Genomic DNA, 26,264 nt, shown 5'->3' on the forward strand with positions numbered 1-26,264 from the left:
TTCATACCTAACTTCCCACACGAAGCTTCTCTTTCTGGAGCTTACTTTCAAACACTTGGGTTTGTGATTTTGTTCCAGATCAGAATTGGATCCTTATGCTATGCTACCCAACTTCCAGAGATTTGAGGATAAAATGGCACATTTGGCAGAAAACTTTTGAGAAGATCTTTATCAAAGAGGGAACTCTCTAAATAAAGGTTCAGTGTGCCTCATAGTTCTCTTTCAAACAGGAACATACAGAAAGGGGGTTGACATTTTGATTTCCCAGATAATCTTTTGTTTTTATGATTTTGGATATAAACATGTCTCAGACCTGAACAAGGAACTCAGATTTTTATCCTTAAAATTAAATCTGAAGAATAAGGAGAACCACATGCCCTTATCAGCTTTAATATTCTAAGAAAATGAGAAAAAAAATGATTTAAGAACATTTAAAAGTTGTGCACTGGGTTCATCAAAGATTCTCCCATTGAAGAGAAAATCTGAGCTGTTTCTTGCTTTATATTTGAATGCTGTGCATGGTTTTCATGATGGCAATAATAATTTACTGCAAAATGCTTTTATTGAGTTGCCTTTACTGAAGAGGCCCTGCATGCCTTTTCACCAGCTTGCTACAATTAAAAGCAGCAGTAAACAGAGCCTTTCTATTTAGACTGAAAAGCAATGATTAAGCTTACCCAGCTATAAATAGGAGGCAGCTTCACATCTATGGCCCCAACTGCACACATTAAAGACTCCAGCTCCAAATGCCCCCAATTTATTTCTACAGGACAAACCAATAAATTGTCAAACTCTGACCTTAAAAGTGACAATTTCTTAAAAAATGAAAGTAGGTAAATTATGCATAATTATAGATAATTACTGAGATGTCTATGAGGCCAGGAAATCAGTACACATGCTGGAAATCTAAATTTGCACGCTGATAGCTTCTCCTTTTACCATTATCAAACCATGGTTTGCCTTGAGCAGCTGTCAGAGATGGCTTTTCTTTGCTTGGGGGCACAGAAGAAAATAAGGGACTTAAGAGAGAAGATGGAAAATACAAAGTTATTTTTTAAGATTCCCGTTAGTTCAAGTGATTCAGCAAGGAAACCAGAATATAGGCAGTTACTGTTAAACGTTTTTGAATAAAAATGTTTAAATGCAAGCCATTTATCCCACCTATAAGCTGTAGCTATCTGAGTGTTTAGAGATTTGAAGGCATTTGATTCAACCTCCTCACTTTCTGCAGCAGGAAACTGGAGGCTAAGAAAGCCCTGTGAATTGTCCAAGGTCACATGGCTTGACAGCAGCCGTGCTGGAACTCAGTAGCTTTTCTGACTGTCACTGCAGCATCCACTGAATGGAAAAATTTGTTCCCTTTTTATTATTTTTAGTATAAAACCCTAGATTAATGAGATCTAAGTCATAAAAGTCCATAGGGTGCTGTATTTCTTTGAGTGCAAGACAAGCTTGCAAAGGTGACAGGATTTTCCCACTTGAAGAAACGTGGTCCCCTCTGCCTCAGCATCCTCCATCTGAGCCAAGAGTTGCCAATTTCCAAAAGCCCAAGAAAGTAAGTTTCCAAAATATGTCTTGGGTGATCGTATCTTTTTTAAACTTGTGAGTCCTCTTCATTTCGTGTTTGCATGTGGCCTTTGTCTCCCAGTGATTTTCCAACTGCCCATGACTCCCCTTGGGTCATGCGCTGGATATTCTCTGTTGCCTTCTGTCACCTTCTCAACTCTGTGCCCAGGAGACTGGCATTTATGTATGTATCAATGTCACCCTAGTCCTTTGGCTATAATCAGGCTGAGCTATCAAGGATACTAACAGAAGACCGGATAGCAGGGAGATAAAGAAGCCACAGTTTCTATTCCCCCAGTTCACTTCCTGCAGAATAAAGCACAGTTGCCCAGCTGAGCCCAGCCCACATTACCAAACCCCAGAAAAATTAGTGAGAATTAACAACTGCTGTACTAAACTACTCCATTTTTAGGAGTTTTTTTAAAATTCAGCATTATCTGACTGATACAAAATATGACACCTGCAAAGAATTTAAGACAACATAACTAACTTGAAATAGAGATCAATAGTTCTGAGACCCAGAAATGGAAGTGAACTCAGACTGGGATTGAGTTTGCAGATTCACTTGACTCCACGTCCAGAAGCAAATGGAGACATCTGGGGCCCTGTGGGGTAGCAAAACTAAAAGTATCCCATGGGAAGTAAGAGATTCACTCTTCAAACTCATTGCTTGGAACTAGTAACAAGTTTGAGGTTCTCTCATGCATTAAAGGGGGCTGAAATAAGCTCTTAAAACCACCGTCTGAACTATAAAACTGGATAGCAGGGAAGCCGTAGAAAATAAAGTCTTTTATCCTGAACTTAGGCTTAACTGCTGACTTGGTAGCTGAATGTGCGAAAACCTCAATTTCAGTGCATTTTGGGAGCCTTGAGCTACCAATATAAGACCTGGTTTTTGACTAAATGTTATTGAGAAATGGTGGAAGAAGAAATTAAATATAAATCTGCAAGACTGTGAGACATAAAATGGCGGAGAGAGAAAGAGACAGAGAGAGAGAGAGAGAGAGAAAGAGAGAGAGAGAGACCTCCATTCAATAATAAAATTCCAAAACACATAAGGAAGTAATGCTAAGAAAGACAGCAACAAAATAAACTAATAGAACTGAGTTCACTCCAGATGAAATGGAAATAATAAAATAGACTATTACCCACTAGTCTTCACTAAAATAACTGCTGAAGAATGTATTTCAGGCAGAAGAAAACACCCTAAGAGATATAGAAGAATGGAGCGGAATGCAGAAACAACAGTACAGAATTTCGTAAAATATGATGATAAATTTAATTAACTATTGACTCTTAAAAAGAATGGTATTTTTCACATCATGAGATAAAATTCAAATAACACCAAGAAAGACATAGATGGGAAAGATATTATGTGTGTAATAAAAGCATACTTAGTTATTGGGTTATTTGGGAGAACAGCAGAGATACTAAATCACTTAAATTCTGTTCAGAATTTTTTTTACTTAAAAATGTTAAAATGTTAAAACTATCAATCAAACAGGAAGAAAGAAAAGAGGTAAAATAAGCAAAAAAAAAGAGGATGGTAAACATAAAATATATAATAACTAAGTCCAAATACAGCAGTAATCAAAATAAATGTAAAGGAACCAACTTACTTATAAGAGCAAGATTATCAGGCTAGGTATTTAAAAATCCAACCATATGTAGTTTATAATAAACACACTTAAAACATAATGGTCCACAAAGGTTGAAAATAAAGAAATGGAAAAAAACAAGTAATTCAATCACTAACCAAAAGAAAGCTGATATGGCAATATGAATGTCAGATGGCACTGGATCTAGGCCAAAAAGCATAAAAAGAGACATTATGTAGTGATAAAAAGAACAGTCCTGGCCAGGCGCGGTGGCTCACGCCTGTAATCCTAGCACTTTGGGAGGACGAGAAGGGCAGATCACGAGGTCAGGAGATCAAGACCATCCTGGCTAACATGGTGAAACCCCGTCTCTACTAAAAATACAAAAAAGTAGCCTGGCGTAGTGGCGGGCACCTGTAATCCCAGCTACTCGGGAGGCTGAGACAGGAGAATGGCGTGAACCCGGGAGGCGGAGCCTGCAGTGAGCCGAGATAGCGCCCCTGCACTCCAGCCTGGATGACTGAACGAGACCGTCTCAAAAAAAAAAATAAAATAAAAACCAGTCCTGTATTTGAATGGCTAAGATTATGGCTTGAAATATAAAAGAAAAATGCTGACAAAATTACAAAACAAAATTGAAAAATCTACTATCTTGTCTGAGATTTTAAAACACATATCAAAAGCCAGCGGAGTCAGCAGAAAACACCAACTTGTATTAAAAAGCTGGAAAATAATAAACCCACTTTATAGATGTAGAAACTGGGGCCTAGGCAAGTTGAGTGATTCATGCAAGATCACAAAGTTTGTATGAATTCAAGCCAGGACTAAAACTCACACTTTCTAAATAGTAATCCTATGCCCTCTCCATTTTATAACATTAACACATGTAGAATAAACTGCGTATCTGCAGAAATGATTAGCCTTTTCTATGTCCTTAAGAGAATCCTTAGTGTGGTAGCATATCTGTCAATGTTCCACTCGGTTTACCTTGAATTTCTTTTACTTTTTCAGTGTGCCTTTTCTTACCTCCTACATATTATGTTTCTAATTATCCATCTCTGTGATTCTCTATGGAGAACCACCCTTAGGCCACCGGGGTGTCTACTGTGAAACAGAAGTTCCTGGGATGTTATGCCCTCAATCACGGCCCTTATTCAATGACTGACCGGTGTGGGAAAATGGAAGCCCAGCTCCTTTGCCTTAGAGTTTGAACAAATCTAAGGTATAATTTTCACTCCGAAGCTCCCCCGTGGGATCAGGCTGAGGCTGAATCTCTGCTTGGCTTCTTCCCTTATCTTTCCTGCTTTTTACACCCAGTTCTACCTCGAAAATTTTCCTCAATAAATTGAGTTGCATGTGATTTCTCATCTCAAGGTCTGCTTCTGGGAACCCTTTCCTAAAATGAGGACCATACAGCTCTGTACTAGGAGTAAAAAGAGAGTAGAAAGTGGTTCTACAGAAAACCAAATACAGCATGTTCTCATAAGTGGGAGCTAAATGATGAGAACACAGGGACACAAAGAGGGAAATAACAGACACTGGGGCCTATTGGAAGGTGGAGGGTGGGAGGAGGGAGAGGATCAGGAAAAATAACTAATGGGTACTAGGTTTAATACCTGGGTGATGAAGTAATCTATACAACAAACTTCTGTGACACAAGTTTACCTATATAACAAACCTACACAAGTAGCCCTGAACTTAAAAACAAACAAACAAACAGGATTATTCCATAAAAGTATGTTCTCTATTTAAAAAAATTTGAAGTAAATGAAAGTCACCCATAATCCCACTATTTGTAAGGCTATTTTGGTCATTTACCTAAGTATATATACTGTACAAGTAAAAGTGTGATAATGCCAAAAAAAAAAAAAAAAGTAGTTCTAGGGAAAGAATATTTGAGTGGTTAAGGTTTCCTGCTGCTTTTATCTTTGGGAAATTCCAGTTTGATTTGGGCACTAGGAACCTGGCATAGTGAATGTAGTGTCTGCCAAGCTAGAAGAACACTGCTGCAACTTCAGACTTCAGGTCAATTACTATTGACTGGCCAACTTTCTGTCCCGAGCATACCCTCTTGGGTCCAATTCCAGATTAATAATGGCCCAATTCCAAATCTGGAGGATTCCTGGCCTCTCTCTCTCTCTCTCTTTCAATGCAGTTGCTTACTTCCCTTAAGACTGGCTCTGAATATACAAGAAGGCAACTCCGGGATTCTGGCCTTTAAGATGCAAGACCATGGGTAACCATACAAGCAACATCATGGGCTTTCCAGTTGGTTGAGCCATTATTTCAGCCTCTACTTTGTATCTCATAGCTTCACATTTCTTTGCTTTCCAAGTCTGGATTTAGAGGTGGGCCTTGTCTAGAAAGCCAGGTCTACCTTTTTTCAGGCAAAAAGTTTCATTAACCACTGTGGCTTAGAATAATATTTATGTAATAAAATATTTACTAGGTATTGAATGCATGCTATATGCCACTATACAGATGAAGAAATGGAAGTTTAGATCTGAAGATTAACTTGCCCAGATTTATGTGGCCAGCTCTTGCCACAAACCAACCAAGGATTTAGTGAGTCAGACATGAGCCTGACTCTGCACGTATCCTACAAGTCATAGCATTCCCTACCCTGGTTTTGCTGACCCCAGGCTCTAGCACTGGATTTATCCTTGGTTCTCTTACTGAGTGCTCTAGTACTTTCCTAGTTGAGCCCCTGACACCCATCCTCTGTCAACTCATTTTCCCCAGGAGCTGACACCTGCTCCTCAAAGTATGTCTTCAACTTCTACCTGCCATTTTTCACAGAGACACATGGAGAATTTGCCCCAAATACACATCTCTAGGGACTTTCTGCTTCAATGCCCTGCCCTCCTCCTGCCAGACTGAACCATGGCAATGGGGCCTAAAATTCTCAATGCTATCTTAGGTTGGGTTCCCCAGAAGCAGAACCCAAGAAAGGGAAAATCAGGCACACATTGCTTCAGTCCTCTTGAGGAAAGACTCTCAAAAGAAGCATCTAAAAGAAGAAAAGCAGACAGGACAACTAGGGTAAGAAGCCAAGCAAAGATGCGTGCTCAGGAAAAATCTAAACCTGGCCTGATATGAGAGAGGATCTGGAGCATAAATTACAACACTGACATGATGGTCCTCATCATTAAGACAAGGTGGTTCGCCTTTTGTACTCCTGTATCAGCCAGTCATTGCCATAGACTTCTCCTGATAAAACCATTTAGGGAGTGTAACTTTCTGGGCATTAACTTAGGGTGATACTTGGGGAAGAGGACCTCTGTTAGCTTTTAGCAGTCAATACAGCAGCTGGAGGCTAGAGCCCCTGCTCATCCACCAGCATCTACTACAAGTGCCTGGGCCTTGGGCAATGAACGTGGGACTTCAGCAATCAGATCCCTTTTCTCATCCCACCTTCCTGCTCCTGGCCTCCTCCTACTCCCCATCATCCTGTGTGGCTGGGGCCCCCCCATGCCATGTGCCTATCCACAGGCTCCTGGATTTTAGTACCTGCTCAGAGTCCACTGCATTGGCGCCTGACACTTTATTAGTGTTCTAAAGCTTTGTTTACAGTTACCAGGACTCTCTAGATAGCAGCAAAAAGTCAACAAGGAAATAAAACTCCACCAGCTGGTGTATTTGTTGGGGATAAACTCACCACACAGGAAACAGCTGGGTACATGCTCACAAACGTCAGTACCTTGCTGGTCCCAAAGGCTCATCTGAAGTTGCAAGTTTGAATCCCCCTTTCCAAGCTGGTCTGTTTATACGCACTCCTCCACACCTTCAGTTCCTTTACACCATGTGAGCCTCAGGAAGCTGAGGCAGTAATGAGCTTTGAAGCTGTTCTACTGCCTGTGACAGCCCACAGGCCAGTCATTTGATCCAATTGCTTGATGCTACCTCCAGCAGCCTCTTGGCAAAATCTCTGCCATTATATACCATTGTTTCCTTACTCTAAAGCTCACATCTTCTCATGCTGAAGTCTATATGCTTCCTAGTGTATGAAAGTAACACTTTAATGTAGCCCTGAAGAAAACTGTCCAGCCCATCTGGACATCTGCCAGTCACTAGGAAGAGAATAGATTTTTCAGGCACAAATGTTAGCATACTAAGGAGTAGAAGGCTGAAGGCCATCTTCACTGACTTTATAGTCAGTGCGTTCTTTGTTCAGCAAAACTTAGCTCCTAGTCCTGAGCCAATTCCAAAATGCTGAATTTCATCCTTCCACTACTTTGAAAGCATTTAAGGTCTAATGAAAGGGATTAGGCCTGGAATTGGTGCCAGAAATTAAAATGAAGGCATAATTTGCATGTTTTGACAATACCTTCACACTTACACCCATGCCATGCTTTCTTAAACACTCTTGAAAATATGTGAGAATCAAGATTTCATAATCCACTTCTTCTGGAATGCCATGTAGAAACATTCTCATTTTGCTTTCTCCCTGCCTTCTGATTTTACTCACAGGCTTAATAATCACTGTAAGGATGGGGTAGCCATAAACAGCAGAGCATTGAGCTTTAGTGCACTCAGATGTTTGTGTATTTCCCCATTTACCTTGTATATAAAGCCATGCTAAGATTCGCAGTTAATGCTGGAGCTCACCTTGAAAATAGCACCATCTTTCTCCTGAAGATGCTCAAACTCCAGGTAGTAACCTCAGGTTGTATCATAGCTCCTTCAGGGTACCTCACTGTTTTTAATAAGCACATGATAAAGATAATGTCTTCCTCGATTCTAGTGGTATTTCTTAACAAAAGCCTAAGCTGCACCAGGATGAGGTGTTGTAATATTTTCACAAGTGTTAAAAAGGATTACTGCTCTTCCTAATATTGGTCAATGTGCCCAGATGGAGACTATTGCTTTTGCGCATAACGTCTAAGCTTCTTTGCCAGCGCACAATTGTTTAAGAAACCACTTTTCTTGCTATGCCCTGATAATCTTGCCTCTTGAATAACTCATTTCCATCAAGAGCAGGACAGAATCAGAACAGCATGGACAAGGATAATCTCTAAAATGTGGTTTCAAATGGAGAAGTATGATATGGTTTGTCAGAGGCCTGGAAGGTGCACATTGTTTAGTAGGTTGACCCAAAGCCATCCTCAAGAGGTAGGATGGGTTTTTTTGTGTGTGGTTTTTTTTTTTTTGGTTTGTTTGTTTTGTTTTGTTTTGTTTTGTCTTTTGAGACAGAGTCTCACTCTGTCACCAGGCTGGAGTGCAGTGGAGCAATCTCAGCTCACTGCAACCTCCGCCTCCCGGGTTCAAGTGATTCTCCTGCCTTAGCCTCCCGAGTAGCTTGGACTACAGGCTCACGCCACCACATCCAGCTAATTTTTGTATTTTTAGTAGAGATGGGGTTTCACCATGTTGGCCAGGATGGTCTTGATCTCTTGACCTCATGATCCACTCGCCTCGGCCTCCTAAAGTGCTGGGATTACAGGCATGAGCCATTGCACACGGCCTAGAAGTAGGATGGTTTTAAGAGCACTGCACTTTCTTTGACACTTCTACCCCTGAGAGTAGGGTCTATGTTCCCACCCCTTGAACCTGGGTGGGCTTTGTTACTGCCTTGATCAATAACAAAGTGCAGCAGAAGTGACACTATAATTTCCAAGGCTGGGTCTGAAGAAAGTCATGTAGCTTTTTCCTTGTTCTCCTGGAACACATACTCTTTGTATCTTCAGCCTCCATGTAAGAAATTTTACTGTCCCGAGGCTGCCCTGCTGGACATACTAGGTGGAGAGACCACTAAGAGAGAGAGAGATGATCAACAAGCCTTAGCTATTCAGGCATCATACATGGGAGCGACAAAAGCTTCAAGATGGCACTAGCCCTAGCTACTGCTCAACTGTAATCACAGAGAACCCAAGGCCAGAAATGCCCAGAGGAGCCTAGTGGACCCCAGAACTGTGAGAGATACTAATAAATTGTTATTGATTTAAGCTACTGTGTTTTGAAGATGTTGGTTCCACTGCAATACATAATGGGAACAGGAGGTGCATTACACATAATATAATGTACAATTCAACCCAAAGGACTCTCCTACCCACCACTGGATACATGTCTATGAGAGTTGGCACTGCTGTGGGTGCACAGAGCCAAGGCCATGCCTCACAAGACAGTAGAGTGGGTGGATGTCTGCATGCTATGATTTGAGAATGACTCAAAGTAATCTCCCTCAGGGGGCTGCTCAGGTCCCTGACCTCTTCCACAGTAATTGCCTTGAGAGGATATGCAATCTTGGAAACTTGCCAAATGTTAGAAATCCCCTTGTTCAGTGGGTTTCAAACTAAGAACACTCAGGTTTTGAGAAGGGATTCCAAGGAAGTACAGTGAAAGCAAGCCTTCTACAGACACAGTATTCTCTCTCTCTGGCCTCAGAGGGAGGATTTCTTCCCAGCCTCAGGGGTGGAACTGACCCAAGGTGCCCATCAGTGCAACACATTCTTCTTGCCATTGTGATTGGTATAGGGCTGGACACGTAGTCCACATCAGGCCAATCAAAGTGAGTATCAGGACAGTCCCAGGGAGTTCTGGGAAAACAATGTTCTCCCTTTTTCACTAGATTGGAATTTAGAAGTATAGTACTTTGAGAGCTGCTAGCAACCATAGGAAAAGTGGCAGAGAATCCTAGGAATGGAGTGGAAAGAGAGGAAGTAGATCTCAGAAGAGACAGAAAAAAAAAGTTGATCCTAACGGCTTTCAACCTGATATTCAGCTGTTCTTGAAGCAGATCTCCCCTGGACTATTTTGTTATGTGAGCTCACAAATTTATTTTGTTTAGTGATTTAAGCAACTAGAATTTTAAAAATCAATGTGTACATATATGCTTAGCTTCTCTTGGAGTTTGTGTTTTAGCAGTAGAAGAAAATGATTTCTGCTGCTAAAAACATGTTTGGAAATAGCTGATCTTATCCTAGTGATCTAGTCCTTTTTGTTGTGCAAAAGGAAGTGCTAAAATCAGAATGAGAACCATGGTCACCTGACATAGACACAAGTGATGATGATGATGATGATGATGATGATGATGATGATGATGATGATATCCATGTTCAAGTACTAATTCTGGGCAAGACACTGTTCTAAGTGCTATGAATATATTACCTCATTTAATCATCTCCAAAACATTATGAGATATTCTGTTACTATCACCATTTACAAATGATGGGATTGAAGTACAGAGAGGATAAATAGCATCCTAAGATCACACAGCTAGTAAGTTGTGATGCTAGGATTGAACACAGCTGTTCTCTTAGCCATACCCTACACCCCTCTGACAAGGTAGAGTGCCTTCTCATTGGCCCCTAGGTTCTGGGCTCTCTTTCCACGATGCCTCTATTCTTAAAGCATGCAACCCAGAAGGTTCCTGTTAAATGTAAGTGAGAGAATTTCTATCACTGTGGACCTGCTTCCATCATCTGGTTTGTGGTTTTATTCTAACCACAAAGTATATGACTTACTCATGTCTGCTTGGTTTTGACTCTTTACTAAGAGTAAGGGAATGCAGTGATCAAAGGGAAGGAAGATTTTTAACTTAAGTTGTCAGCTTGCTTCTGCTTCCAAAAAAGTTTCATGCTTAAAAATATGGCACCATGCTTTATTCTTCAAAAGAAGAAAAGTCAAATTGTAGCTGACTCCAACTCCTTGTTTTACTTAGGTGGAGGAAGATTCCATCTCAGTGAGTATGATTTGTTCCTGCCCACCCCTCAGCTCCCAAAATGGCCCAGGAAGTTGTATGCAGCATAGAATTTGATGTCACTGTTATTTGGTCAACTTGTATGATCATTGTTCAGATTTGTGTAGTCCCTGGAAAGAAGGTGCCTCTGACAGTTCTCTGTCATTTTGGGGTACAGGGCACCTTGTTATATGGCTGCTTCCCCGGGGCCTAGTGTCAAGCTTCTCTTCGTGGGTGTTATATATATATCCTATTCTAAGAAGATGCTAAGGTGTCAGATTGGAAGCCACCATCCCTCTCTTTGTCTCCATTAATCTCCACCTCTCTGCCTTTGCTATTTCCGCCCATCCCTTCCTTTCAGTGAAGAACACAGATCCCCTCACTGCTCTGCTCCATTCTTTATAGCTCTTTGCATATTGCATGGGTTTTGCCTAAATTAGAATGGACCTTAATAGAACTGTGGGGCTTTTAAACATTCAAGCATCACTTATTTTAATATCCCCCTAAATACCTTTTGAAAAATCTCTTAGAAGTCCAACCGATTTAAGGGTTAGTGTGCATTTTAATTGACCATTCAATTTCAAATAAATGTGGAGGAAATTACAACCCTCTTAACAGAGAAACGACAATTTAAGGAGAATGAGACCTTGATTGAAACAATTAGGAACTTAGAAACCAGACTCTGATGTGGTCAAAGAAAACAGCCCAGGAATTTATAAAGCCTGCCTTATTTTGCTTTGAAGAAAAACTTGAAAACCATAAAACAAGGTGAGATGTTATCCAAAATTTGGAAGCTAATTTAATAAACAGATTAATGCAGTTAGTTTTGTTTGGCATTGAGAAACATTGGTTAACCAAAATTTTATTACAAAAATAAAATAAAATAGTTAGTTCTCACCCAGCCTATGGACTTGAGGCTTAGAAGAAAGACATTTTAATCTCCTGTCATCTATTAACATATTTTTTATCAAATCACATAATCAGATAAATTCTTTTTTTTTTCTTTTTGAGATGGAATTTCGCTCTGTCGCTAGGCTGGAGTGCAGTGGCATGATCTCAACTCACTGCAACCTCCCCCTCCTGGGTTCAAGTGATTCCCCTGCCTCAGCCTCCCAAATAGCTGGGATTACAGGCACACACTACTACGCCCAGCTAATTTTTGTATTTTAGTAGAGACGGGGTCTCACCATGTTGGCCAAGATGGTCTCGATCTCCTGACCTCATGACCTACCTGCCTTGGCCTCCCAAAGTGCTTGGATTACAGGCATGAGCCACCGCACCTGGCCTCAGACAAATTCTTGATCAGATGGGCTCCCTAAGAACACTCTTTTCTTTCTTTCTTTCTTTCTTTCTTTCTTTCTTTCTTTCTTTCTTTCTTTCTTTTTTCACATTTTTTTCCCGTAGGTTATTGGGGTACAGGTGGTATTTGGTTACATGAGTAAGTTCTTTAGTGGTTATTTGTGAGCTCCTGGTGCACCCATCACCTGAGCAGTATACACTGAACCCTGTTTGTAGCCTTTTATCCCTCATCCCCCTCCCACCCTTCTGCTAAAGTCTCCAAAGTCCATTGTATCATTCTTTACTTCGATTTTTTGTTTGCTTGCTTTGAGACAGAGTCTCACTCTGTCGTCCACGCTGGAGTGCAGTGGTGCAATCTCAGCTCACTGCAACCTCTGCCTTCCAGGTTCAAATGATTCTCCTGCCTCAGCCTCCTGAGTAGCTGGGACTACAGGCATGTGCCACCACTCCGGGCTAATTTTTGTGTTTTCAGTAGATACAGGGTTTTTACCACGTTGGCCAGGCTGGTCTTGAACTCCTGACCTCAGCTGATCCACCTGCCTCAGCCTCCCAAAATGCTGGGATTACAGGCATGAGCCACTGTACCTGGCCCATTGTATCATTCTTATGCTTTTGCATCCTCATAGTTTAGCTCCCACATCTCAGTGAGAACATAGCAATGTTTGGTTTTCTATTCCTGAGTTACTTCACTTAGAATAATAGTCTCCAGTCTCATCCAGGTTGCTGCAAATGCCATTAATTCATTCCTTTTTATGGCTGAGTGGTATTCCATTATATATATATATAAAAAACTGGGTATTTGTGTGTGTGTATATATATTATATATATAATATATATAATATATATGTAATATATATAATATATATATTAAATATATATAATATGTATAATTTATATGTAATATATATAATATATATATTAAATATATATAATATATATAATTTATATGTAATATATATAATATATAATATATATAATATATTATATATAATGTGTATATATATATAATATATATAATATTATATATATTATATATAATGTTTTATATATATATAATATATATAATATATATATAATATATATAATATATAATGTGTGTATATATAATATAATATATAATATATAATGTGTATATATAATATATATTATATATATAATGTGTATATATAATATATATATTATATATAATGTGTATATATAATATATATTATATATAATGTGTATATATAATATATATTATATATAATGTGTGTATATATAATATATATTATATATAATGTGTATATATATAATATATATATTATATATATAATGTGTATATATATATATATTATATATATAATGTGTATATATATATATATAATATATATATATATACACTGAGATTTTTTGTTTTGTTTTGTTTTTTGAGATGAAGTTTCACTCTTGTTCCCCAGGCTGGAGTGCAATGGTGTGATCTCGGCTCACTGCAACCTCCCCCACCGGGTTCAAGTGATTCTCCTGCCTCAGCCTCCCGAGTAGCTGGGATTACAGGTGTCTGCCACCACACCCGGCTAATTTTTGTATTTTTAGTAAAGACGAGGTTTCACCATGTTGGCCAGGCTGGTCTCGAACTCCTGATCTTCCGGTGATCTGACTGCCTCGGCTTCCCAAAGTGCTGAGATTACAGGCGTGAGCCACCACACCCAGCCTGGTTTTTTTGTTTTGTTTGTTTGTTTGTTTTTTGTTTTTGGGGGATGAAATTTCACTCTTGTTGCCCAGGATGGAGTGCAATGGTGAGAGCTCAGCTCACTGCAACCTCCGCCTCCTGGATTCAAGCAATTCTTCTTTCTCAGTCTCCCGAGTAGCTGGGATTACAGGCACCTGCCACGACACCTGGCTAATTTTTTATATTTTAAGTAGAGATGGGGTTTCATCATTTTGGCCAGGCTGATCTTGAACTCCTAACCTTCAGGTGATCCACCCACCTCGGCCTCCCAAAGTGCTGGGATTACAGGCATGAACCATGGCACCCAGCCTATACCAGCTTTTTATCCGCTCGTTGATTGATGGGCATTTGGGTTGAGAACACCCTTTTCTATCCGTCCATTTCATTTATTTCCCATTTCAAAAATTACTCCATAAACGTGATCATCCCCATAAACACAGGATAAACACTTGACAAAATTCAGTGCCTTTTCATGATAACAAATAGTAAAGAAGGAAATTTTCTTAACTAATAAAAGTCAATACACAAAATTCACAGGTAACATCATACTACACAAAATTGAAAAGATTCCCCACTAAACCACGAACAAGACAAGGAGGGCCACTCTTACCATTTCTATTAAACATTATACTGGAGCTCCTAGCTGGGGAATTAAGCAAAAAGAAGTAAGAAAAAATGGAAATAAGTAAATGACATCCAGATTGGGAAGGAAGAAATAAAATCATGTCTATTTGCAGATGGCATGATCTTCTATGTAGAAAATCCTAAAAAATCCATGCATACACACAAAAAGCTATTATAACTAATAAATGAATTCAGCAAGACTACAGGATAAAACATCAAAAATCAAAAATCAATTCTCCTTTTGTACACTAGCAATGAACAACCCAAAAATGGAATTAAGAAAGACATTTACTTTATAATAACACCAAAAAGAATAAAATACTTAGGAAAAAATGTAAGCAAAGAAGTGTGTGGTCATTTATTTTTTATGTCCTCTGGACTAGGCCTTGGGCTACCCAGACATTTGTTCAAGCATTATTCTAGGCATGTCTAGGCATGTTTGTGAGAGTGTCTCTGGAGGAAATCAACATTTGAACCAGTAGGCAGAGTAAAGCAGATTGCTCTCCCTAACGTGTGTTGGTTTCAACGCATCAACTGAAGACCTCAACAGAACAAAAAAGCTGAGTAAAAGGAAATTCCTGCCTGACTACTTGAGCTCGTCTTTTCTGGCTTTTGGACTCAAACTGAAACATCAGCTCTCCTGGGTTCTCCAGCTTGCTGACTGAAAATCTTGGAACTTCTCAGCCTCCATAATTCCATGAGCGAATTCCTTATAATCGATTATTCTTTCTTACATAGGTACATATGGGGTGTGTATATATATAAATATATGTATATATATACACACATATATGTATACTTCTAGTTCTCTTTCTCTGGAGAACTCTAATGCAAGATTATAAAAAAAATTACTGAAAGAATTCTTAAAATACATACATAAATTGAAAGTCATTTTATGTTCATGGATTGGAAGACAATATTGTTAAGCTAGCAACACTCCCTACATTAATTTACAGATTAAACCCAAGTCTTATCAAAATCTCAACTGCCTTGCTTACAGAATTTGACAAACCTATCCTCAAATTCACATGGAAATGTAGTAAACTCAGAATAGCCAAAATAGTCCTGAAAAAGAGGAATAAAGTTGGAAGACTTACACTCCCTGATTTCAAAACTTACTACGTAGCTACAGGAATCATCCTGAATACTTTGTACTGGCATAAGGATAGTTATATAGATCTATAGAACAAAATTGAGAGTCTAGAAATAAACCCTTACATTTATAATCAATTGATTTTGGACAAAGATGTCAACAAAATTCAGTGAGGAAAGAATAGTCTGGTGCTGGGGTGACTGGATATCCTCATGCAAAAGAATAAAGTTGGACCCTACCTCATATCATATACAAAAATTAACTCAAAATGTAGGAGAGATCTGAATGTAAGAACTAAAATATAAAAATCTTAGCAGAAAACCTAGGTATAAATATTCGTGATCTCATATTAAGTGATACTTTCATATGTATGACACCAAAAGCACAAATCAAAAACTTTTGTGTGTCAGAGAACATCATGAAATAAGTGAAAATAAAAAAACCACAGAATGGGAGAAAATACTTGCAAGCCATATATCTGATAAAACACTTGCCGTATAAAGAACTCTTCAAAGTCAACAAGAAAATGACAAACAACTCAATTAACAAATGGGGAAATGATCTGAATGAACATTTTTCCAAAGAAGATATTCAGATGGCTAATAAGCACATGTAAATATCTTCAACATCATTAGCCACTATGCAATTATAAATTAAAATTACAATGATATATCACTTTGTATCCCTTAGGATGATTAAAATAAAAGACAGACAGTAACAAACATTGGCAAGGGTAGAGAATTGGAACCCTCATATATTGCTGATGGTATTGTAAAATGGTGTAGCCATTTCTGAGTAACAGTCTGGCAGTTCTTTAAAAGTTAAAAATAGAGTTACTGTTTGTGTGTGTGTGTGTGTGTGTGTGTGTGTGTGTGTGTGTGTATTTGAGACAGGGTCTCACTCTGTTGCCCAGGCTGGAGTGCAGTGGCGCGATCTCAGCCCACTGCAATCTCCACCTCCCAGGTTCAAGCAATTCTCCCACCTCAGCCTTAGAATTACTGTTTGACTCAGCAATTCCACATCTAGGTAATAATCACCAAAAAAGTAGAAACAACCCCAATGTCCATCAACTGATTAACAGATACACAAAATGTGGTATACTCCATACGGATTATCATTTGGCCATAAAAAGGAATGAAGTACTGGCTTATACATTCTAAACATGAATGAACCTTGAAAACATTTTGCTAAGTGAAAGAAGCCCATCACAAAAGACCTTATATTTTATGATTCATTTATATGCAATATCCAGAATAGGCAACATCATAGAGACAGCAAGTAGATTAGTGGTTGCCAGGCAATCGGAGGGGAGAGAAGGGAGATAGCAAATGACTGTTAGTGGGTACGGAGTTTCTTTTGGGGGTAATGAAAATGTTCGGGAATTAGTGGTGATGGTTGCACAACTCTGTGACTGTACTAAACAGTATTGAATTACACACCTTAATATATTTTATAATATATGAAGTACATCTTGATAAAGCTGTTCCAAACACTTTATATAATATATGCTAAATATATATTATATAACAATATAATCAATATAATATATATCTCATATTTATTATTGTGTATTATATATTGTATAAATGTATATATAACTATATAGTATAAAATTATAACAATTGGACATGTTATAATTGTTATGAGCCCTATATATATCTCCTGTTGCAGCTTAAAAGCTGGAAGTCCCTGAATTCATTTGAAACCTAAAATAATTTCCTTCTTACTTAAATATGCTGCCTTAACATCCTTTAAAGGTCTGAGAATTAAAACAAAACAATACCTATCAAAAACTTCCTTGTGACTAGTTTATCCCTAAGTCAAGTTGTTTTCTATTTATTTGTTTTCTTTTGGTTTGGATCAGATTGGTTTGTACATTATGTGGTTAAGAGCGTCTGCTGGGCTTCTAGTACTGGCCATCACCACTAGTAGCTATGATACAGGGAAAGTTATGTCCCTCTCTTTGCCCAGGTTACCCATCTGTAAAATGGGAAAATTTTTGAGGCCATCACTAAATATCAGTAGACTAAAGGACTAAATGACCTCTTAAAAATTCAGGGTTCAAGACAACCTATAGAATGGGAGAAAAATTTTGCAATCTATCCACCTGACAAACACCTAATATCCAGAATCTACAAGGAATTTAAACAAATTTACAAGAAAAACACAAATAACTGCATTAAAAAGTGGGCAAAGGACATTAACAGACACTTCTTTGAAGAAGGCATTTATGTGGCCAACAAACATGAAAAAACGTTCAACATCACTTATCGTTAGAGAAATACAAATCAAAACCACAATGAGATACCATCTCATGCCAGTCAGAATGGCGATTATTAAAAAGTCAAGAAACAACAGATGCTGGCAAAGTTGCTGAGAAAAAGAAATGCTTTTACACTGTTGGTGGGAATGTAAATTAGTTCAACCATTGTAGAAGACAGTATGGTGATTCCTCAAAGACCTAGTACCAGAAATACCATTTGACCGAGCAATCCCATTGCTGGGTATACATCCAAAGGAATATGAATCATTCTATTATAAAGATACATGCCCACGTATGTTTACTGCAGCACCATTCACAATAGCAAAGACAGGGAATCAACCCAAATGCCCATCAATGACAGATGGGATAAAGAAAATGTGGTACATATACACCATGGAATACTATGCAGCCACAAAAAGAAATGAGATCATGTCCTTTGCAGGGACATGGATGCATTTGGAAGCCATTATCCTCAGCAAACTAACACAGGAACAGAAAACCAAATATCGCATGTTCTCACTTATAAGTGGGAGCTGAACAATGAGAGCACATGAATACAGGGAGGGGAACAACACACACTGGGGCCTGTCAGGGGGCCGGGAGAAGGGAGATTATCAGGATAAATAGCTAATGCATGCAGGGCTTAATACAGAGGTAATAGGTTGATAAGCACAGCAAACCACCATGGCACACATTTACACATGTAACTGTATTAGTCTGTTTTCATGCTGTTGATAAAGACATACCCAAGATGGGGCAATTTATAAAAGAAAGAGGTTTATTGGAATTATAGTTCCACATGGCTGGGGAGGTCCCACAATCATAGTCGAAGGCAAGGAGGAGCAAGTCACACCTTACGTGGATGGCAACAGGGAAAAAGAGAGCTTGTGCAGGGAAACTCCTGTTTTTAAAACCATCAGACCTCATGAGACCCATTCACTATCACAAGAAAAGCATGGGAAAGACCCGCCCCCATAATTCAATCATCTCCCACTGGGTCCCTCCCACAACATGTGGGAATTATGGGAGCTACAAGATAAGATTTGGGTTGGGACACAGAGCCAAACCATATCATTCTGCCCCTGGCCCCTCCCAAATCTCATGTTCTCACATTTCAAAACCAGTCATGCCTTCCCAACAGTCCCCCAAAGTCTTAACTCATTTCAGCATTAACTCAAAAGTTCACAGTCCAAAGTCTCATCCGAGACAAGGTAAGTCCCTTCTGCCTATGAGCCTGTAAAACCAAAAGCAAGCTAGTTACTTCCTAGATACAATGGGGGTACAGGCATTGGGTAAATACAGCCATTTCCAATGGAAGAAATTGGTCAAAACAAAGGAGCCACAGTCCCCATGCAAGTTCAAAATCCAGCAGAGCAGTCAATGTTAAAGCTCCAAATGATCTCCTTTGACTCCATGTCTCACATCCAGGTCATGCTGATGCAAGAAGTGGGCTTCCATGGTCTTGGGCAGCTCCACTCCTTTAGCTTCGCAGGATAGAGGCTCCCTCCCAGCTGCCTTCACAGGCTGGCATTGAGTGTCTGCAGCTTTTCCAGGTGCACAGTGCAAGCTGTCGGTGGATCTACCATTCCAGGGTCTGTAGGATGGTGGCCCTTTTCTCACAGCTCCACTAGGCAGAGCCCCCATAAGGACTCTATGTTGGGGATCTGACCCCACATTTCCCTTCTGCATTTCCCTAGCAGAGGTTCTCCATGAGGGCACTGCCCCTGCAGCAAACTTCTGCCTGGGCATCCAGGCATTTCCATACATCCTCTGAAATCCAGGCAGAGGTTCCCAAACCCCAATTCTTGACTTCTGTGCACTTGCAGGCTCAATACCACATGGAAGCTCCCAAGGCTTGGGGCTTGCACCCTCTGAAACCACAGCCCAACCTCTACATTGGCTCCTTTCAGCCATGGCTGGAGCAAACGGAATGCAGGGCACCAAGTCCCTAGGCTGGACACAGCATGGGGACCCTGGGCCGGGCCCACAAAACCACTTATTCCTCCTAGGCCTCTGGGCTTGTGATGGGAGGGGCTGCCATGAAGCCCTCTGACATGCCCTGTAGACATTTTCCCCATTGTCTTGGGGATTAACATTAGGCTCCTCATTACTTATGCAAATTTCTGCAGCAGGATTGAATTTCTTCTCAGAAAATGGGATTTTCTTTTCTAATGCATTGTCAGGCTGCAATTTTTCCAAACTTTTATGGTCTGTTTCCCTTTTAAAACTGAATTCCTTTCACAGCACCCAAGTCACCTCTCAAATACTTTGCTGCTTAGAAATTTCTTCTACCAGATACCCTAAATCATCTCTCTCAACCTCAAATTTCCACAAATCTCTAGGGCAGGGGCAAAATGACACCAGTCTCTTTGCTAAAACATAACCAGACTCACCTTTGCTCCAGTTTCCAACAAATTCCTCATTTCCATCTGAGACCACTTCAGCCTGGACTTTATTGTCCATATTGCTATTAGCATTTTGGGCAAAGCCATTCAACAAGTCTCTAGGAAATTCCGAACTTTCCCAGATTTTCCTGTCTTCTTCTGAGCTCTCCAAACTGTTCCAACCTCTGCCTATTACCCAGTTCCAAAGTTGCTTCCACATTTTCAGGTATCTTTTCAGTAGCACCCCACTCCTGGTACCAATTTATTGTATTAGTCCATTTTCATGTCGCTGATAAAGATATACCTGAGACTGGGTAATTTATAAAGGAAAGAGGTTTATTGGACTTACATTTCCACATGGTGGGGAGGCCTCGCAATCATGATGGAAGGCAAGTAGGAGCAAGTTACATCTTACATGGATGGCAGCAGGCAAAAAAGAGAGCTTGTGCAGGGAAACTCCTGTTTTTAAAACCATGAGATCTTGTAAGACCCATTCACAATTGTGAGAACAGCACAAGAAAGACCCACCCCCATGATTTGATCATCTCCTGTCGGGTCCCTCACACAACACATGGAAATTATGGGAGCTACAAGATGAGATTTGGATTGGGACACAGAGCCAAACCATATTAGCAACAAAGCTGCATGCCCTGCACATGTATCCTGGAACTTAAAATAAAATATAATACAATTTTTAAAATGAAAAATGAAAAAAATTTTTTAATTCAAGATTCAGTCATTAAAACAGGGACATATGCCCAATAAATGTATCATCATTATTTTAATACTTAGCACTCTGTTCTGTGGATTCTTAAAAGTAGCTTATATTTTAAACCACTTAGGCCTTATAACTGGGGGAAGATTCCGTCTTATCCCAAATTGGGAGAATGCAGGAAGCATGAAGGACAAAGGGTCAATGGAGTTACAACCTGTAGACAGCCTGAAAAACCAAATTTGGGGCATCCCTTTGTGCTGCTCTACAAATAGCCTTCATTTGCTTTTCCTATCTGGCTTCAAGATTAATTGCTAAACTTGGAAGGAGGACCTTGAAGTTTGCTCGTAAATTTTCTGTGTTTAAAAAGAAGAGTTTTATCATTAATATTCTGGAGTGAGCATGAGTCAGGGAGAGTGACTCAGGCCATGTTCTCAGAGGTGGCTGGCTATAAATCCACTTTTGCAGAATATTAATCTCCCCTGGCTCCTTTGAAAAGTTAGCAATTATTAGTAGATGGTGTGAAAGAGAGTCTTTAAAAGAGGAATGGTAAGACAATGTCACCTTGAGTTTCTTCCAAACTCATTGCTATTAGAGAAGAGAAAAGCTGTTCCCTCAAACAAACTTTGGAGAGGAGTTGTCCTGGCAGGCACAGGCAGCAAAAGCAAGTCACAACTCCACTAGACGGAGCCCCCACAGGGACTCTGTGGTGGGGGTCTGACCCCACATTTTCCTTCTGCACTGCCCTAGCAGAGGTTCTCCATGAGGGCGCTGCCCCTGCAACAAACTTCTGCCTGGGCATTTAGATGCCTAAAACTTACCGCATATGTGTACTGGGTCCCAAAAAAAACCCTAGTACCTTCAAGGAAAGATAAGGTTTCATGAAGCAATTTGACTCAATAATTAATTGTTCCTACCCGGTGATGGAATACCTAGGTTGCCTTGAAAATATTAAGCCAATCATTTGGAGAGTTTGAATCTCTTGAATGTAATAGTTAAAGGTAGATAATATTTATGTCTTTGGGCAAGTGTAAACAGGGTCACAGAATTAGGGGATTCAAGAAATGGACATTGAAGTATCACCACCCATTCAAAGCCCTTGCCTGAGGAAGGGATACATTGAAACCACAACATACTGGTTTTTTTTTTTTCCTTTCCTGTATATTTATATTAGTTGGCTCTTAAAATGTGGTGCCCAGAAGGCAGCATGGGCATCACCAGGGAACTTGTTAAAAATGCAAATTATCAGGCCCCTCCCCAGACTTACTGAATCAGAATCTCTGAGGTTGGGACTCAGAAACCTGTATTTTAACAACCCATCCAGATGATTCTGCTGCTTGCAGAATTACTGCTCTAACTACAGCCAGTAACAGAGCTACTTTTAAAAAGCAAGTGATTATAACAGTTGGGACTATTGTAGGCCGAAAAAAGAAAAAGAAAGAAAGAAACTGGACTACAGTGGTCTAACTAAATAAGGGTTTATTTTTTTGTCACAAGAAGAATGGAGTTCAGCTACCCTGGGCTGATTCTGCAAAACCAGAATGTCATCGTTGTCCCAGGCTCCTTCTACCTTGGTAAGTGGCCTTTTCCCTCAGGTTCAACACTTCAAGGCCATAAGACAGCTGCTTCACCTCTGCCATGTTCAAGGCAGGAAGAAGAATGAGAAGTGCAAAAGGTAAAAGGTACATGCCAGCTGGGTCTCTCCACTTCTAAAAGGCTGCCTGGAAGCTTCAGCAAGTGACCACCACTCATGTGGCATAACATACAAAAACATTAATCAAATATTTCATCATCAGGGCTGGAAGGGACAATAGGAAAGTACAAAGAGTTTAAAAAGAGTGGTTAAGGCCAGGCATGGTGGCTCATGCCTGTAATCCCAGCTCTTTGGGAGGCCGAGGCAGGCAGATCACTTGAGCTCAGGAGTTCGAGACCAGCCTGGGCAATGTGACGAGACCCCATCTCTACAAAATACACAAAAAGTTAGCTGGGCATGGTGGTACATGCCTGTATTCCCAGCTACTCAGTGGGGCTGAGGTAGGAGGATCACTTGAGCATGGGAGGTGGAGGTTGAAGTGAGCTGAGATCACGCCACTGCACTCCAGCCTAGGCAACAGAGTAAGACCCTGTCTCCTAAAAGTAAAAAATAAAAGTAAAAAGAGTGGTTAGCAATTGTATTGCATAAGGTCTAATTTTGGTAAAGTGTGCTTGATTTTATTTTGGAAATTATTCTTCTTAAGATTGAAAATGCAACATTTGCCATTGTATTTACACCTTTCTTTATTATTTCTTCATCACTGGATGATTTTTACTCTTGATAAAAGTTTGGAAGTTGAATTGCTAGCACCAACTGTAATATCGGTGTGTAATGCTGGGCCACTGTAGTTGAGGAAGATGGCTCATGTTGTCTTTTCTTGACTGACTTCATTCCACTTAATTATGGAATTTTGTTCATATCTTAGTGTTACTTCCTGGCCAGAAATTTTTATTTTGCAAACAAGTCCAAACAGTAAAATCTTTATTACAGAGAAATACTCTTAAGTCCATTTACTTTGATATATACATCTTTCATCAGCTACGTTTTTCTTCTTGGCAGCTAAGGTTTACATTTAATCAAGAAAATGTCCTTCTTGCACTTAGAGTAGGCACCCTCCTACCCAGCTCTGCCTCTAGTCCCAAAAAAGCCATCTGATGCTCACTACTGCCTGTCAAACATCCTAATGGATTATTGCTCCTCTCCATCAACCCCCATCTGAGGACCTAGCCAGCAGAATGCTAAAACACCCAATCCACACAGGCAAAATAAAATGATGGGGGGAGCAAAATCTGGAAACTTGGTACTCAGAGTAGGGTCTTCCCTCCAGGAGCATCAGCATTTCCTGGACCCTTGTTGGCAATGCAGACTCCCAGTCATCCTAAATCTGCTAAATCAGAACCCACATTTTAAAAAGACCTCCAGTGGTGGTTGTGCATCTTAGTTTGAAAAGCACTGGCCTAAAGCAGTGGTTCTTGAAATATTGCTCTAGACATGCAGCATAATCATCTTCTGGGAAACTGTGAGAAATGCAAAATCTCAGTCCCATCCCAGCCCTGTTGAATTTGACACTTTAGGGGTGGAGCCCAGTAATCTGTGTTTTATCAAGCCTTCCAGGTGATTCTGACATAAGCCAAAATCTGAGAACTTCCCCTATAACAATGGTAGTCAACCTTACTTATACAAAGAAATCACCTAGGGTATTTAAACATTACAGCTGTCTCCTATCTTAAATATTTCTGCTCACAGGAGGAGTGTTTTAGGTCAAATTTCCCAGAAGAGCACCAGGAAAGACCACATCTATGTCTAGCCCCACTCTTCTTCCTCCTCTGTCACATAACACTTAACAAGAATCCACATTTCAGACTGTTCCTTATGAGCTCTCCCACACTGCCACACATTTGTTTCACCAGGCAAGATGAAAACAGCCTGCTGAGCCCCAAAGGAATAAAGCATGGAAGACGACTGGAGAACACATTTGACCGCTTTGTAGGGTCAGTATCAGGGGCTGCAGCCTAGGAGGCCTGGATAAATGCTGCTTTCTACATAGACAGGTTGTGGAGGGGAAAAGACCTGATTCTCAACACCATTGTCTTGGCGCCCCTGCCACAGGTAGTAGATTAATTACAGAAAAATAAATAGTCCTGATTTCCCATTCCTCCTTGTATGCACACTCTTTGCAATGTGATTTTGTGATTCTTCCAATCCAGAAATAGACTCTGTTTCCCTACCAGTTGAATCTGCTCTATGACTTGAATTCGCCATAGAATGTGGTGGAAAGGATGGTTTGCCAGTTCCAAGCCTGGCCTCCGCAGGCTTGAACACTCTCCTCTTCCTCTCCGACCCTTAGCCAGCACCAAGTGATGATACCCAGACAAACTAGCGTGAGAGACTTGTGCCCCAGTCATGCCATCCCCCCCAAAACAGCCAGCTGACCACCATACATGTGGGCAAGACCATCCTGGAGCAGCACTCCTCTAGTTGACCAATGACTCCCATATGAGCCCAGCTGAGAACAACAGAGAAGGGCCCAGGGCAAAAGGGTCACACACTGACCTGTAACCTTGAGAACTAATAATGGCTGCTATTTGAAGACACTGACTTTTGGGGTGCCTTGTTAGGCAGAATTATTGTGACAACAGTTCAATAATACCTCACAACTTTCAGACCTTTCCTGGAGAGACCCAAATATGGGACAGAAACATTAAACTACAAACTACAGACAGCTCTGCACACCTGACTCTGGGTGTGAGGAAATGGACCACGGAGAAGGCAGAGGCATTGGTGGTCAGGGAACACAGCACTCGAGACAGAGCAGGCTTAGAGCTCAGAGGGGCTCGTGAGCTGCGAACAGCACAGCCTGCAGCCTTCTGTGAAGTCACACGGGGAGGAAGTGATGAGAAGGCAGGTTCTATTTCTGTTATGTGATCTAGAAAAAGTACCTGGGAAGCCAGCAGGGAGCCAATCAGGGAAGTTGACTGATGGGGCCAACATGGGCTTCCGTTTTTATGAAAGATGTGGAAGAGAAAGAGAGAAGGGCCCAGAAGTGTGAGATTTGGGGGTAAAATTAGAACTAGGTTTTTTTTGTAGCTTTAAATTTTTTCTTTATTGAGGTATAACAAAAATACAGTAAATTGGCTGGGTGCAGTGGCTCACGCCTGTAATCCCAACACTTTGGAAGGCCAAGGTGAGAGGATCACTTGAGCCCAGGAGTTCAAGGCGAACCTGGGCAATGTAGGGAGACCCTGTCTCTACAAAAAATTTTAAAATTAGCTGGACATGCATACGCCTGTGGACCCAGCTACTCAGGAGGCTGAGGTGGGAGGATCCCTTGAGCCCAGGAGTTCGAGGCTGCAGTGAGCTGTGATCATGCCACTGCACTCTAACCTGGACAACAGAGTGAGACCCTGTCTCAAAAAAGCAAAACTAAAAAAAGCAAAACAAATGCAAACGCAGAACAGTACATTGCACAGATCTTAAGAGTCAAGCCTGGTGAATTGGTGGTGTAAGCTCCCAGATCAACACGAAAGGCTTTGTAGCACCCGGAAGTCTCCCTTGTGCCCGTTCTTGGTCAACTCTTCTTCTTCAGAGGCAACCCCTCTTCTAACTTCTACCACTGCAAACTAGTTTTGCCTGTTTTTGAACTTCATATAAATGAAATCATGCAGTATGTGCCCTCAACTCTGTTTTTTTTTTCTGCTCATCATTTTGCCTATAGAATTCTTACATGGAGGTGCATGTTATAGTAAGATGTTCTTTTTTATCATTCTGTAATATTCCATTTTATGAATATACTACAATTTATTCT

General features: G+C 40.3%; 1 long non-coding RNA gene across 1 annotated transcript in view; it reads right to left on the reverse strand.

Moving 5' to 3' along the window:
- The window catches only part of SNAP25-AS1 (SNAP25 antisense RNA 1), a 195,695-nt gene that overhangs the window by 80,808 nt on the left and 88,623 nt on the right, over positions 1-26,264 (reverse strand). The window lies entirely within an intron of this gene.

This window comes from Homo sapiens, chromosome 20 (assembly GCF_000001405.40).
Source record: "Homo sapiens chromosome 20, GRCh38.p14 Primary Assembly".
Lineage (NCBI taxonomy): Eukaryota > Metazoa > Chordata > Mammalia > Primates > Hominidae > Homo > Homo sapiens.